This window comes from Homo sapiens, chromosome 20 (assembly GCF_000001405.40).
Source record: "Homo sapiens chromosome 20, GRCh38.p14 Primary Assembly".
NCBI classification, from domain to species: Eukaryota; Metazoa; Chordata; class Mammalia; order Primates; family Hominidae; genus Homo; species Homo sapiens.
In genome coordinates this window covers 41435455-41448779 of record NC_000020.11, presented here as the reverse complement: position 1 = coordinate 41448779, position 13325 = coordinate 41435455, and the positions used below count along the sequence as shown (strand labels likewise).

General features: G+C 43.1%; 1 protein-coding gene across 16 annotated transcripts in view; it reads left to right on the top strand.

Moving 5' to 3' along the window:
- The window catches only part of CHD6 (chromodomain helicase DNA binding protein 6), a 216295-nt gene that overhangs the window by 169598 nt on the left and 33372 nt on the right, over positions 1 to 13325 (top strand). For 15 of the 16 annotated variants that reach the window (NM_032221.5, XM_047440549.1, XM_047440545.1 and 12 more), the window contains 4 exons: positions 809 to 898; positions 3012 to 3115; positions 8651 to 8780; positions 11446 to 11506. In NM_032221.5, the coding sequence (NP_115597.3) occupies positions 809 to 898; positions 3012 to 3115; positions 8651 to 8780; positions 11446 to 11506 (385 nt within the window). Of the gene's footprint in view, positions 1 to 808; positions 899 to 3011; positions 3116 to 8650; positions 8781 to 11445; positions 11507 to 13325 lie in introns of those variants that run through there. The other variant, XM_005260576.5, reaches the window with a different exon arrangement.

Below are 13325 nucleotides of genomic sequence, written 5' to 3'. Positions count from 1 at the left end.
AGTGGCACTTTCTACCCAGATCTAATAGGTAGAAATGATGCTTTCTCAGAGGCCTTACCCCTTTGTCATAGTCCATTTTCTGCTGCTATAACAGAATACCACAGACTGGGTATTGGCTCATGACTCTGCAGGCCGGGATGCCCAAGAGCACGATAACGGCTTGTGGGCAAGGGTCATCCGATGGCGAAAGGCATTACTTTTGTTATATACCTATAGCACCCGGCATGATGCAGAGCATATAGTAGTTGCCCAGCAAATACTTGCTTAATTGCTTTGTCTGAGACATGTTTGATGCATTCCCTTGGAGCCTGAGTGTGGTCCATACAGAATAAAAATGAATTGAGCACCTCAGAAGAGAAGACATATTGCCACGAAAAATAGACACTTGCCTTTATTCATTTATTCATTTAACTGTGTACAAGTGAAACTGTTTGAAAACACCACTGTTCACCCTGCTCACTCTTCAGTAGCTGGCCTCTCGGAAGCCACCTCTGCCTAAGAGGTCACTGTGGCCACATGGAAGGGGTGAGTACTCTTAAAGATGAGAAGAGCTGTCTGTTCCTGCTGCCTCCTGTGGCTCACAGGATGATCTAACAGATAACTGATGTGGTCATTTTTTTTTGTAAAATAGGAATGATCATAATAATGTCTGCCATAATGTTTTGTTTTTCTAGTGCCTTCTCTTCTATTACTTCATAATATTAACTACATGGGAATGCCCAGAATTTCCCAGTGTTAACTTGGGGATGTGGTTCACAGACAGTTATGGGTTCTAATTTGTTTGCATTAATGTGTTCACCTTTCATAGAGTACTTTTGCGAGTCCGGATGCTGTACTACCTAAAAGCTGAAATACTGGGAGAAGCAGCTGAGAAAGCATTTGAAGGATCTCCTGCCAGGTAAAGCAAATGAAACTTAACATATCAACGTTAAAGAATTGACATAAAATGCCTATTCATGGAGCTGGCCAAACTTGCCTGTGCTTAAAGAGGCCCATGTTCCTCCTACCCCCTGCCCAGGACCGGTGTCCCAGATGGGAGAACAGGCAAGTAGAATAAGGACAATTCATCAGGTCATCTACAAATAAAATAAAGGAGAAAACCATTTCTTAGAAACCTAGCTTTTGGTGAGTTAGTTCATTTTATTTCCCTCAAAAGTGTTATAAATTTTCTTTTAAAACAGTCATTTACTGTAGAACGAGTGTCGGTTACTGATCTGACATGTATAGACTGGAAGTTTTACCCACCATCCTGTTCTTTGCCTTAGTACTCATATACATATTTTCTTTATTTGCTAATCATATTAATAATATGTGCGGCCTATTCATTTTGTTGCATGTTAGTTTTGCAAATTAGTGTTTGGAAAGCTATAGAATCCTGTGGGAGTATCCCAAGATTTCCAAGATTGAGGCTACCAGGTTCTCAGCTTCCACTTAATAAAGCTGTCAGAAAGCCCCAGTTTATAAATGGGATCACCAGGTGCAGTTTGCTAGCCCTGTGCACACCTGTCATTCCTACAGAATACCAAGAGTGCTGATATTTGGACTTTGTGTTGAGATTACCTGGGGCCGTGGTTTCTTCTTTCTCTTGCTTTCCATTGAGCAATGCTAGTGTCTGTAGAGGTCATAGGAGCACTAAAGTAAGAGAGAGAGGGACATAGACAACCCGACCCATGGGGCAACTTGTAATCAGAGCCAGGCTCCTCAGCAACTGTTACCACTTTCTATGCCTTTCAGAGTCACTATTGTAATTTCCAGCAGGGATGGGGAGGTTGTGTGTTTGGTAGACAGGTTCAATTTGAGTCGTATAAATGCAGCAGAATTCCACCTGATAATATCCATCAAGTGTTACCTGGCAGAAGTACTCTGAACTTACCGCTGTCATGTGTAGGAAGTCATAGGTGGTAGCTAGGTAGAACACAGAGAGAGTAAGTCTGCTGCCCACCCTCTTCCTTCCTCTGCGTTCCTCTGTCTCTTACTGCTGCTCTTCAGGTTGAATACCTTCTTGTGGAGAAGTTGCCATGAGGCATGAACAGCAGTTCATCCCATAAAAGTCATTCAGCCATGGCACTGGGCAGGCAGAGCCATGGATCCCTGGAAAGGTGGGGGTCAGGAAACACTATCCCCACAGAGGGAGCTGGGACTAGTAGGGAGCATTCGGTCCTGTGTCACAGTAAGAGTCTGACGGAAGAAGAAACTTCAGAGGCAGCTGGAGGGGGAGGGAGAAGCCATCCAGATGCATGCTATTCCCTAAACCTCAAAGCCTTAAAGAGCGAGGACTGTACTCAGATGAATGAAGACAGTGAACTTAGGGTTTATGTGAGCTCTCCAAACACGTTACAGAAACTCAGAGAGGGGCTAACACCTGCATGTCTGTGCCCTGGGGTGAGTTATGTGCATCCCTTTGGCCAGGAACAATGCAGTTTTTGATCAATTTTGATCTAATAGACCACTGCCAGGAGGTGCCACCTGTTATGGCACTTACCCTCTGAAAGGCCCTCCTGATATACCGACTTGTTCCAGTGTGGACTCTTGGTCTTAAATGGTGCGTAAGATCTCTACTTGTTGAGGCAACATACTGAGCCACGATGATTTGGGCACTATTTTAAACATACAATCATGTATGAATTCAACTCTTGGGGAAGCTCTACCTTCAGATGTCCAATATATCAATGGCCTTTGCTGTGGTTCACATAAGGTGCACATTAGAACTCTATACATATGGATCCCAAGATGCCACCCTGGACCAACTGACATTGCGTTCTCCAAGAGGTGCTTCAAGACTGTGTCAGTCTGTCAAAGGTAGAGCCTGGAAATCAAGTACTTATGCTTAAATCACTGCCTAAGTGATTCTCATGCAAAGCCCTGGTTGAGAAACAATGACCCACAGCCTTCCTAACCCTTTTGTTTATTGTTACTTTAGCATCTCAGCATGCCAGTAGGACTGTGGCCTAATACCAGGGTTGGACCAGTAGCTTTTGTGTTGTTTTGAGTCTACACCCTTCCTTCCCTAGGGAGCTGGATGTACCTCTGCCTGACATCGACTACATGGAGATCCCAGTGGACTGGTGGGATGCTGAAGCCGATAAGTCACTTCTCATTGGCGTGTTCAAGCATGGTGTGTATTTCTCTGAAGGCGTTCCCTTCTGTATCAGTTTCCCCCAGGAAGGATGAGTTCAGCCCCTCCAACTAAGCTCGGCATGTTCCTGCAAAACTCTATCATTCTGTTACACATTCATCTTAAAAAGTAGAGCTTCACAGCTGCCCTCTTGGAATTTCCACCAGATGAATGTATGGCTCACAATAATACTGCGAATTTTATATTATTGAGGAACATTCAGGCCACAAAGAACCTGTTTGGTGTATATCTTCCTCCCTCGCCTGTCCATGCTGTCGGATATGGGACTGCCTCTAATAGTCCCAGTGCATGGCACATAGTAGACACCTTGAATGAAGGAGTAAATAAATGGCGGGAAATGCTAAGTTTCAGCATTTCTTATATATGCAGAATTATAAGGTCATTCTCGATAATCTACATCTTCCTAGTGTGTATCTTTTACCCCACTGGCATTTTAAAAACTAAGCATAGAAGATAGCATAGACTGTCTTTTTAAAAATGTGGTAATTGAGCCACTAAAGGGGACTGAGAGGTTTTTTAAACACTTGGAAAAACTGAAGTAAGTGCTCCCTTTCTTCACCTCTGGCAGTGTTTGAAACAACTGCCCTTGCTTTCAGCCAACTGCCAGCCATTAAAATGAATGATGAAAGTGTCAAGTGATAGTCACCCATAGTATGCCTGATACACACTTTCCCTGCCAGGTGAATCAACAGAAATTTTAAAATGAGGAGCAAGGTTTAAAGTGAAAAGAGTTAGGTATACCTGGCTTTAGCTATCAACTCCACTACTTACTAAAATGTGTGACATTGGGCAAGTCATAAGCTTCTCTTATTTTCTCACTTATACAATGGAGGAGGTATAGTATCAAAACAGCCTACCTAGGGGTTGTTTAAAGATTAAATATTACATTAAATGTAGACCACCTAGAACAGTGCTTGGTACATAATAGGTGCTGGGTGCTATTCCACTCTCCCATATTACTCTGCCTTTGGAAGGTTGTTAACTTTCTAATACGTATTCTTTAAAGGGAATTCTTCAACTTTTACAGGCTAACCAGCTATATTTAAGTAACAACCATGCCTATACATATTTTAATTTGGAATCCACTCAAAACTTGGATACTGGTATTGAGAATGCAGGCTTCAGGTGGTGCAGTGCTGCTGAGAACCCTTTGTCAAACCGCCGGGGTTAGGCTAAAGCGGTGCTGTCCGGTAGAACTACATGCAATCATAGACATGCCCTAATTCTGCACTGTCTGCTGTGGAAGCCACTAGCCCTGTGTGGCTATTGAGCACTTAAAATGTGACTAATGTAACTGAGCAAGTGTATTTTTATGTACTTTTAATTAATTTAAATTTAAATAGCCCCATGTAGCTAGTGGCTCCTCTGTTGGACAGTGCAGGGATAGAACTCAGCTCCAAAGTAGAAGGAAGTGCGTGATCTCCCTGTTAGTCACAAGGTACCGCAGTGCAACCCAGACTTGGTTTAACCTAGTTTTGGAAGGACCCCAGAAGACAGTAGGCTGCTAAAGGCAGCCAGATTCCAGAGCATCTGAATTTGGTTTGTGGGGGAAGGCCTAGTGACCCTGAGTCTCATTTCAGTGGTGGTTTTAGGGCACATTGCCAAGTCCCTGCATGGCAACAACATGCTGAGAAAAGAGAACACATCTGAAGTCCCAGAAGTATGGCAGGTAGAATTTACATGCTGCTACTTCTTCCTCCCCCACCCCAACACACCCACCATAGACATACAGAAAACCAAGGTGGATCAGGACTTGGAAGAAATAAGGGAAGTCCCCAAATGCAGAAGTCATTTAAAGCCAGAACTGAAAGCTTAGGGGCCAATATGACAGTGAACCAGAAGGACTGGGTTTTTAATACCCACAGAAATGGAAAACATGACTTTGAAAGGGCTGCCCCTCCAGGAAAGGGAAGCAAGAAAAAGCTCTGTGGTCCAAGAAAGCAGAGCTAAAGAAACAGATCCCTGAGTGATAAAGAAGATGAAGACATGAAAGAGAAGATGAGACTTAGAGGACAGAGTGAGGTTGACATCCAAGAGGTGAAACAAGACATCCCCAGAAAATACTAACAACCCGGTAAGGCAAATCAATATCACACACAGTCTGTGAGGCAAAAAGCATAATTTGGAAGAAAGGGGGTCATTACACAATGATGATAGATACAACTCACCAGGAAGATATAATTAATAATTCTCACGTGAAGGACATAGCCTTAGAATGTGTAAAAATGGACAGGAATCTAAGGAGGTCCAAGATGCCTTCTCACCTGGAAAAGACAGGTTATTATTGGTGCCCTACCTTCTAGTTTCCTAATCCCTAATCACTGTTCAGGGTATTGGGATTAATCAGTTGATCTCTTAGTCTCATATTGGAGATAGAGTCAGCCCAGATGATACATAAGGTCGCTCCCAAATTCTTCTGCTCGTTGAAGCAGTTTTGGGGAGTATAAATTAATTTGTGTTTGCTGATCACACCTGTGAGATGTTAAGATGACACTTCATCACTCAATTCCATTCAGATTCTCACAGATTGTCAGTTGAGGTGAACTTGGAATTTACAGTTACAGCTGAGGGGCAGAGGCCTTGAAGGTGATTTGTGCAGTGTCTGAAGTGTCTCATTGTACAGGATGAGTTTAGCAGATAATGCTATAAAGACAAGAGAAGAAAAAGCCTCTGTTTTCAGTGCTAGGAGACTGAGCCTAAGCCATAAATGCAGACTCTGCATAGGGCCAGATCAGTTTAGTTGGATGGTTACATTGGAGTCAACTTAGATGAGGTTGGACAGATGCCTCATGGGCCCATCCTCTTTGGCACCCGCCAGAGTCCATATCAGATCCTGCCCCTGCCTGGGTGCTGCCTATTCCATGAGCTTAGGCTTAGACATGTCCTCATCTAGGTAACACATCTGACCACCCCTTTCTAACCTTCGCCCTTATCACAGTATAACCAAGCCCACACAACATGTCTTACCAGGTGACAGCTTCTCAGATACTCAGCAGCTCTGGAGATGTGATACTTAGCCATTTTCAGAAAGCCAGTCTGTCTAGTGTTCACTTTTCAGGGATATTGTGTCAGGAAGCCCGCTCCACTTCACCTGCATGCCTTGGTTAAGTATGAGCTGTAGAGCTGCAACCATTTTCTTTGTTAAGAAACACATGACTGTTCATTGACTGAGGTTTTGTGAATTTTTTTTAAGAGACAGGGTCTCACTCTGTCACTCAGGCTGGAGTACAGTGGTGTGATCACAGCTCACTGTAGCCTTGAACTCCCAGGTTCAGGTGATCTGTCCACCTCAGCCTCCCAAGTAGCTGGGGCTACAGGTGCACACCACCATGCCTGGCTAATTTTTTTTTTTTTAATTTTTTGTAGAGAGGGGATCTCATATGTTGCCCAGACCAGGCTGGGCTCGAACTCCTGGACTCAAAACAATCCTCTTGCCTCAGCCTCCTAAAGTGCTGGTATTACAGGCATGAGCCACCATGCCTGGGATTGTGGATCTTTTAGTCCACTCCAGACATAGCCTGCTGTAACCCTGTTAAATGAGTTGAATATAGCCATAGATCGATCTCCAAGCTGACCCCATTAGCATTGGCTTAGTTTTTGGTTGGAGCTTTAGCCTGCAGCAAAAAGATTTCTGTGGCAAACCTATTCTAAATTATGCTCTTGACAGCTCAGTTGAGTTGAGTGACTGCTGCCCCTCCAAGGTAGCCTGGATGTGTGAAATTTTCCTTGACATACAGACTTTAGTATTTCTGTTGATATTCTTAGAGAGCAGCTTATAGACTAAAAGTGAAAAGAGGCAGGCAGCCGACACCCCCTCATGGGTCTGTCACGTTGCTCTTTGTCTTTGTATTGCTGTTGCAGCTCCTACTGGCTTCTCTTCAGGACAGTTGTTAGGGTTTTCTAGGGGACTGAAAGAGTCATTCTTCCTCACCTCCAGCTTCACAGCTAATTGAGAAATAAAAATACTGAATCTGTCTCTAGGCTTCAGATCCACACATGACAAGAGAAAGTCTACAGAATAGAAGCTTGCCCAGGTCAGGGAGGGTCGCAGCTTGCTCCATGCCTGAGCACAGAGTGTGAAGGTGGTATACTCCTGGACAGTTGGCCTCCCTCAGTAGTAAGGGGACAGTAAGGGAAGGATTTCACCATCTCACCTGTCATTTAAATTACCCCTCTCTTCATGAGAAGCAGGTGGAGAAACTGACTGGAACCTCCTTAAAAGCAGGAGTATTGGGGAATTTTCTGTTTGATGTGAGGTGGGGCAGGAACGTGGGGAAAGGGTGAGAGTGGTTCTTCTTCCTACAACAGTGATTGGAAGAGAAAAGAATCTAGGCAAAACCGACTCATCTGGTCAGTTGTTTGTTGAGTCTGTACAGTGTCAGGCCCTTTGCTAGGTACTGACTATATAATGATGAGCAAAAACAGATACAGGTTCTGCTCCTAGGAAGCTCACGACCTCATGAGAGACTTAGAGCAATCAAGTCATTGCCATAAGGAGTAAGTGAGTAAAGAACATAAGGCACTGCAGAGCTTCTCGTGCCAGGTACCTCATGTGGGCAGCACCTGTCATGGAGATGGCAGGAGAGCCACTGTGGATTAAAAGATCAGCTACCCACAGCTCCTCAGGGAAAAGAACCAGGTGCTACCTACAGCTTGAAGGATACAACTGCATCAACAGTGATACGAGAACAAAAACCAAAATAGAAATGAAATACCAAACACAGTTAAATCAGGTTTGTTCCTAAGAGCCAGGCTGGTTCTCATTTACACTCAGCTCTTCCATCTCCTCTGATGGGGACTCTGCCTTTTATGTGGCCAAATGCTGTCTCATTCTAAGAGTACATTAGGTTCAATAAAATAAATCCTCACACATGGACTTTATCAAACAAAATCAGGGTTTTTAAAATTGTTTTGCTTCCTTTTTGAGGCCCCTCTTCTGGGTCAAAACACTGTCTGTTGTTAACTTTGGGGTGTGATGAGGAGTAATTCCAAAGCCCTGGCCAGTGTGGATTAAGATTTGTACTGAGTTTGTGATACAGAGGCCACAGGTCTGTCTTAATGCAATAAACAATCATCGTAGTTCTCTTTATATTTCAGTCCTGCCATCCATCATGTTCACCTTCCCTTTCTAACACATGGGATAAAAATGAGCTGTAAGAAAACAAGGCCCATAAAGGATATAACAAGGTATCCAGAGTTGAGGATGGGGGAAGAAGTTGCAAAACCAGCTGACGGGAAGCAGCAAACAGAATTGTGTATCTATACAATTGTCTTTTCACGGACACTGAGTATTTCCGTAAGCCATTGTTTGTTGGTCAAACACTACTCAAAGGTGTCCGCTTTAGCACCAGGATTTTTCCCTGATAGTCTTATAGGATCTCATTAATCTTAAATAATTATTTTTTTGTGTTTGTTTTGTTCTTTACTAAATAAGGAAAACAAAAAGACTAGTGCCCAAAGCAAATATTGTGAGTTCTAACATGACTTCTGGCATTTCTCACCACTCTTGATCAGGTTATGAAAGGTACAATGCCATGCGAGCAGACCCAGCACTTTGCTTCCTGGAGAAAGTTGGGATGCCCGATGAGAAGTCCCTTTCTGCAGAACAGGGTGTTACAGATGGGACCTCAGACATTCCTGAAAGGTGAGAAGCCACGTAGGCCAGCCCTCATGTGACATGCCATGCCACTGATCTGTGACCCCTTCCTCATAAACCCAGCACTCTTTATCTCTTCCTCAGCATCTGGCATCTCCCTACACCTTGCCACACTGCCGCTGTTTTCCATAATTGCTACTTTGGTTACACCCTACTCTACCTCAGACCTGCTCTTTGACTTCCAAGCACTTTGAACCAAATACCGGTTCCTGTTCCTCATGAGTTTCCCAGGCTGCCCACCTTTCTAAAAGCCTGCCCAGCTTTCTAACCATGTCCATCCCTTGTCTGGTCAGAGGATTCCTGTGGGAGAATTCAGACCTCCCATGCCTGGCAGAATAGCTAAGAACAGAAACAAGTACAGCCTTCCTGACTTTGAACTGCAGTTCCTCAGATCCAGTATTGTCTAAGGATTGCATAGTCCATGAGCAAGATGGATTTAGGGGCCGCTCCTTGACGGCCATGACATTTCAGCTTGTCCATGGACTGTGTGCAAAAAAGTAGATGGAAGGCCTCTCCTTTGACTGATTTTTATTTACTCTTGACATAAATACATAGGAAAACTAAACAGCTAAAAATTGTAGTTCTTCAAATTATATATATGTTTTTGAAAACATAGCTTTTTTTTTTTTCCCGAGATAGAGTCTTGCTTTGTCACCCAGGCAGGAGTGCAGTGGCGCAATCTTGGCTCACTGCAACCTCCGCCTCCCAGGTTCAAGCAATTCTTCTGCCTCAGCCTCCTGAGTAGCTGGAACTACAGGCACGTGCCACCATGCCCAGCTGATTTTTGTGTTTTTAGTAGAGATGGGGTTTCACCATGTTGGCCAGGCTGGTTTTGAACCCCTGACCTTGTGATCCACCCACCTCAGCCTCCCAAAGTACTGGGATTACAGGCGTGAGCCACCACACCCGGCCAAAACATAGCATTTATCTCTTAGCATTTATCTCTTAGTTTCTCCCCAAAAGTAGCAGATACTGCTTTGCATTGCCCAGGTCTGTGGCCAGACCTGAGAATGTGGCACTGCCAGGAGCCCCTAACTATTTGCTCAGGCCAAGAAAAGTGTGCAGTGCATTTTCCATCTGTCCTTAACCCCTGATGAACACTTCAGCTGCCCCAGCATTTTTCTTGAGGACAGATAACCGAGATGCATTCTGGGAGATGTTAACAGAGGCCCATATGACTGGTGATTCTCATGTTCATTCACTGATTCAGGGAAAACACTCTCTGAATGGGCGCCTGAATGTGGCATAAAGGCTATTTTTTGTGGGGTGGCTTTTCTTTCTACGGTTAAGTGGTAAAGCAAGGAGCTTATCTTGCCTCTAGGACTTGAGCATCAAGGACAAGAATATTTGGGACGCAAATATTTCAAAGGCAGTTTTTTGGGGGTTTTTTGTTTGTTTGTGATGGAGTCTCACTCTTTCACCCGGGCTGGAGTGCAGTGGAATGATCTCGGCTCATTGCAGCCTCCACCTCCCAGTTTCAAGCAATTCTCCTGCCTCAGCCTCCCAAGTAGCTGGGATTACAGGCACCCACCACCACGCCTGGCTAATTTTTGTATTTTTAGTAGAGACGGGGTTTCACCATGTTGGCCAGGCTGGTCTCGAACTCCTGACCTCAGGTGATCCGCCCACCTCAGCCTCCCTAAGGGCTGGGATTACAGGTGTGAGCCACTGCACCCACCCTCAAAGTCAGTTTTTAAAAGAATCATGAAAAACAGGTAGGCATCAGCAGTAGTTAAGCTCACAAAAGAGAAGACATTAGGCAGCTGAGCTAGCATCAAGGGTCTGATGGTAACAAGGGGAAAATGTCCTTGTTAACCAGTGGCAGCAGAGCTCCCTTCCAAGCCAAGGAGTGACTTTCGCCAAATGTGATTCTGTGGGAAGATTCATCCTACTGTGACCAGGGAGTTGCAACATTAGGCCTCATTTGATGTGCACAGCCTTCAGTTTCTAGAGTGTGTTCTTTTATCAGAGTCACATGTTCAGATGACTCTTGATGGGCAGGAATTACCTTTTTCTGAACTTGCCTGAGTAGACGTGAGGCTGGAGCCTCATGCTGCAGTCTCAGTTGAATAAAGGTCCTTGCCTGTAGAAGTGATAACTGTTTGGTGATAGTTTCTCTCATTCTCAGTGTCTCTTGAATTCTCCCACAAGGGAGGGAAAAACTAAGGCTTGGAATGCCTTCAGAAGAAGGGATCTATTGTCAGCCCTCCTTGTCTGTGGATGCAGAACTCTCAGATCCAGAGGGCCAACCAAGGGACTTGATCATCTGCCGATATTGGTATCCCTGAGGATCTGAGAACCAATCCTCCATGGGTACAGACGGCTGACTTGGAAGTTCCACTTTATTCATGGAGGATACCTGAAATTTCAGATAGTACCAAACCCTGTATAAACTGTATTTTCTCCTATATAAACATACCTATGATAAAGTTTAATTTATAAATTAGGGACAGTAAGGGATTAACAACAATAATAATAGAACAATTATAACAATATACTGTAATAAAAGTAATGTGAATGTGATCTCTCTCTCTCGCCCTGTCTCTCCCCCAAAATATCTTAGTATTTTTGGACTGTGGTTGACCAGGGTAACTGAAACTGTGGATAAGGGGGACCTAGGTAGTATGTGATGCCTTTTTTTACTTTTATTTAGAGGCAACACAGATAAAGAAGACAATGCTGAGGACAAAGTAGATGGCCTCCAGAAACAAACGGTGAGTCAAATGTGCAGTATTGGTCATTTACACCGTCTTTCATATTAAGAAAGAAATCCCTATCTTGGTAGTGATCTGGGGGAACTTGATTGCATTACTACAGTTACATTGCATTTTGCCCAACATTTTATTATAAAAACTTAAAATACACAGACTGCAATTGCATTTTTATTCTAATTAAACTTTTTATTTTGAGATAACTGTATATTTCAGAAGCAGTCACAAAATATAATACAGAAATCGCATATACCTTTTATCCAGTTTCCCCTCGTAGTGGCGTCTTGCAGTATTGTAGTACAATATCACAACCAGGATACTGATATGGATAGAGTCAAGATACAGGACATTCTCATGACCACAAAGATTCATCCTGTTGCTGTCTTATAACCACATCCTCTTCCTTCTGCCTTCACCCCTCTTTAAATTCCTGGCAACCACTCATCTGTTCTCTATTTTTTATGATTTCGTCATTTTAAGAATGTTCTGTAAATGGAATCATACAGTATGTAAACTTTGGGGATTGGCTTTTTCATGCAGAAAAGTTCCCTGGGATTCATCTAGGTGGTTGTCTGTATCAACAGTTCATTCCTTTTCACTGCTGAGTAGTATTCAGTGGTATGGAAGAACCAGAGTTTGTTCAACCATTCATCCACTGAAGGGCATATGGGTTGTTTCCAGTTTTTGACTATTAAGTCCTCTGTAAATATTTGCATATAGATTTTTGTGTGAACATACATTTTCATTTCTCTGGAATAAATGCCCAGGAGTGTAATTGCTGGGTCATATGATAGTTACATGTTGTGTTTTTTAAGAAATTGCCAAATTGTTTTCCAGAGTGGCTGTACCATTTTACATTCCCATTAGCAATGCATGAGAGATCCGCTTTCTCTGTATTCTCCATCCACACCAACATTTGGTGTGGTCACTATTATTTTCTTGAGCCATTCTGGTAGGTGTGTAGCAATACCTTGTTGTGATTTTAATTTGCATTTCCCTGATGGCTAAATGATGTTGAAGATCTTTTATGTGTTTAATTGCCATCTGTATATCCTTTTCAGTGAAATGTTTATGTCTCTTGCCTATATTCTAATTTCATTGTTTTAGTGTTGATTTTCTAGAGTTCTGTATATATTCTAGATACTAGTCTTTTGTCAGATACGTAGTTTGCAAGTATTTTCTCCCACCCTGTAAGTGTCTCTTTTTAGGGAGGATCCCTTGAGCCCAGGAGTTCAAGACTAGCCTGGGCAACATGGTGAGACCTTGTCTCTACAAAAAATTAAAAAATTAAAAAAAATTAAAAATCAGTTTGGCATATTTGTGGGTTCTATTTCTGAGTTCTCTGCTCTTTTCCATATATCTATTTGTCTTTTCCTCTGTCAGTAGCACATAATCCTGAGTGCCGTAGCAATACCGTAAGTTTTAAAATTTGATAGATAGATACCTCCCACTTTTTTCTTCTTTTTCAAAATTGTTTTTGCTTTTCTTGTTCCTTTGCCTTTCCATATAAATGTTAGAATAATCTTATCCACAGAAACTGTTGCTGGGATTTTGATAGGCATTGCTTTAAACCTTTATATCTCTTTGGGGAGAATTGACATCTTCATTGAGTTTTTACAGTACTGAATCTTACTGTATATACCTCTGCATTTACTTTTTTTTTTTTTTTTTTTGACTCAGGGTCTCACTCTTTCACCTAGACTGGAGTGTGGTGATGCAATCATAGCTCACTAAAGCCTCAACCTCCCAGGCTCAAGTGATGCTCCCAGCTCAGCCTCCCAAGTAGTAGGGACCACAGGTGCATACCACCACACCTAGCTAA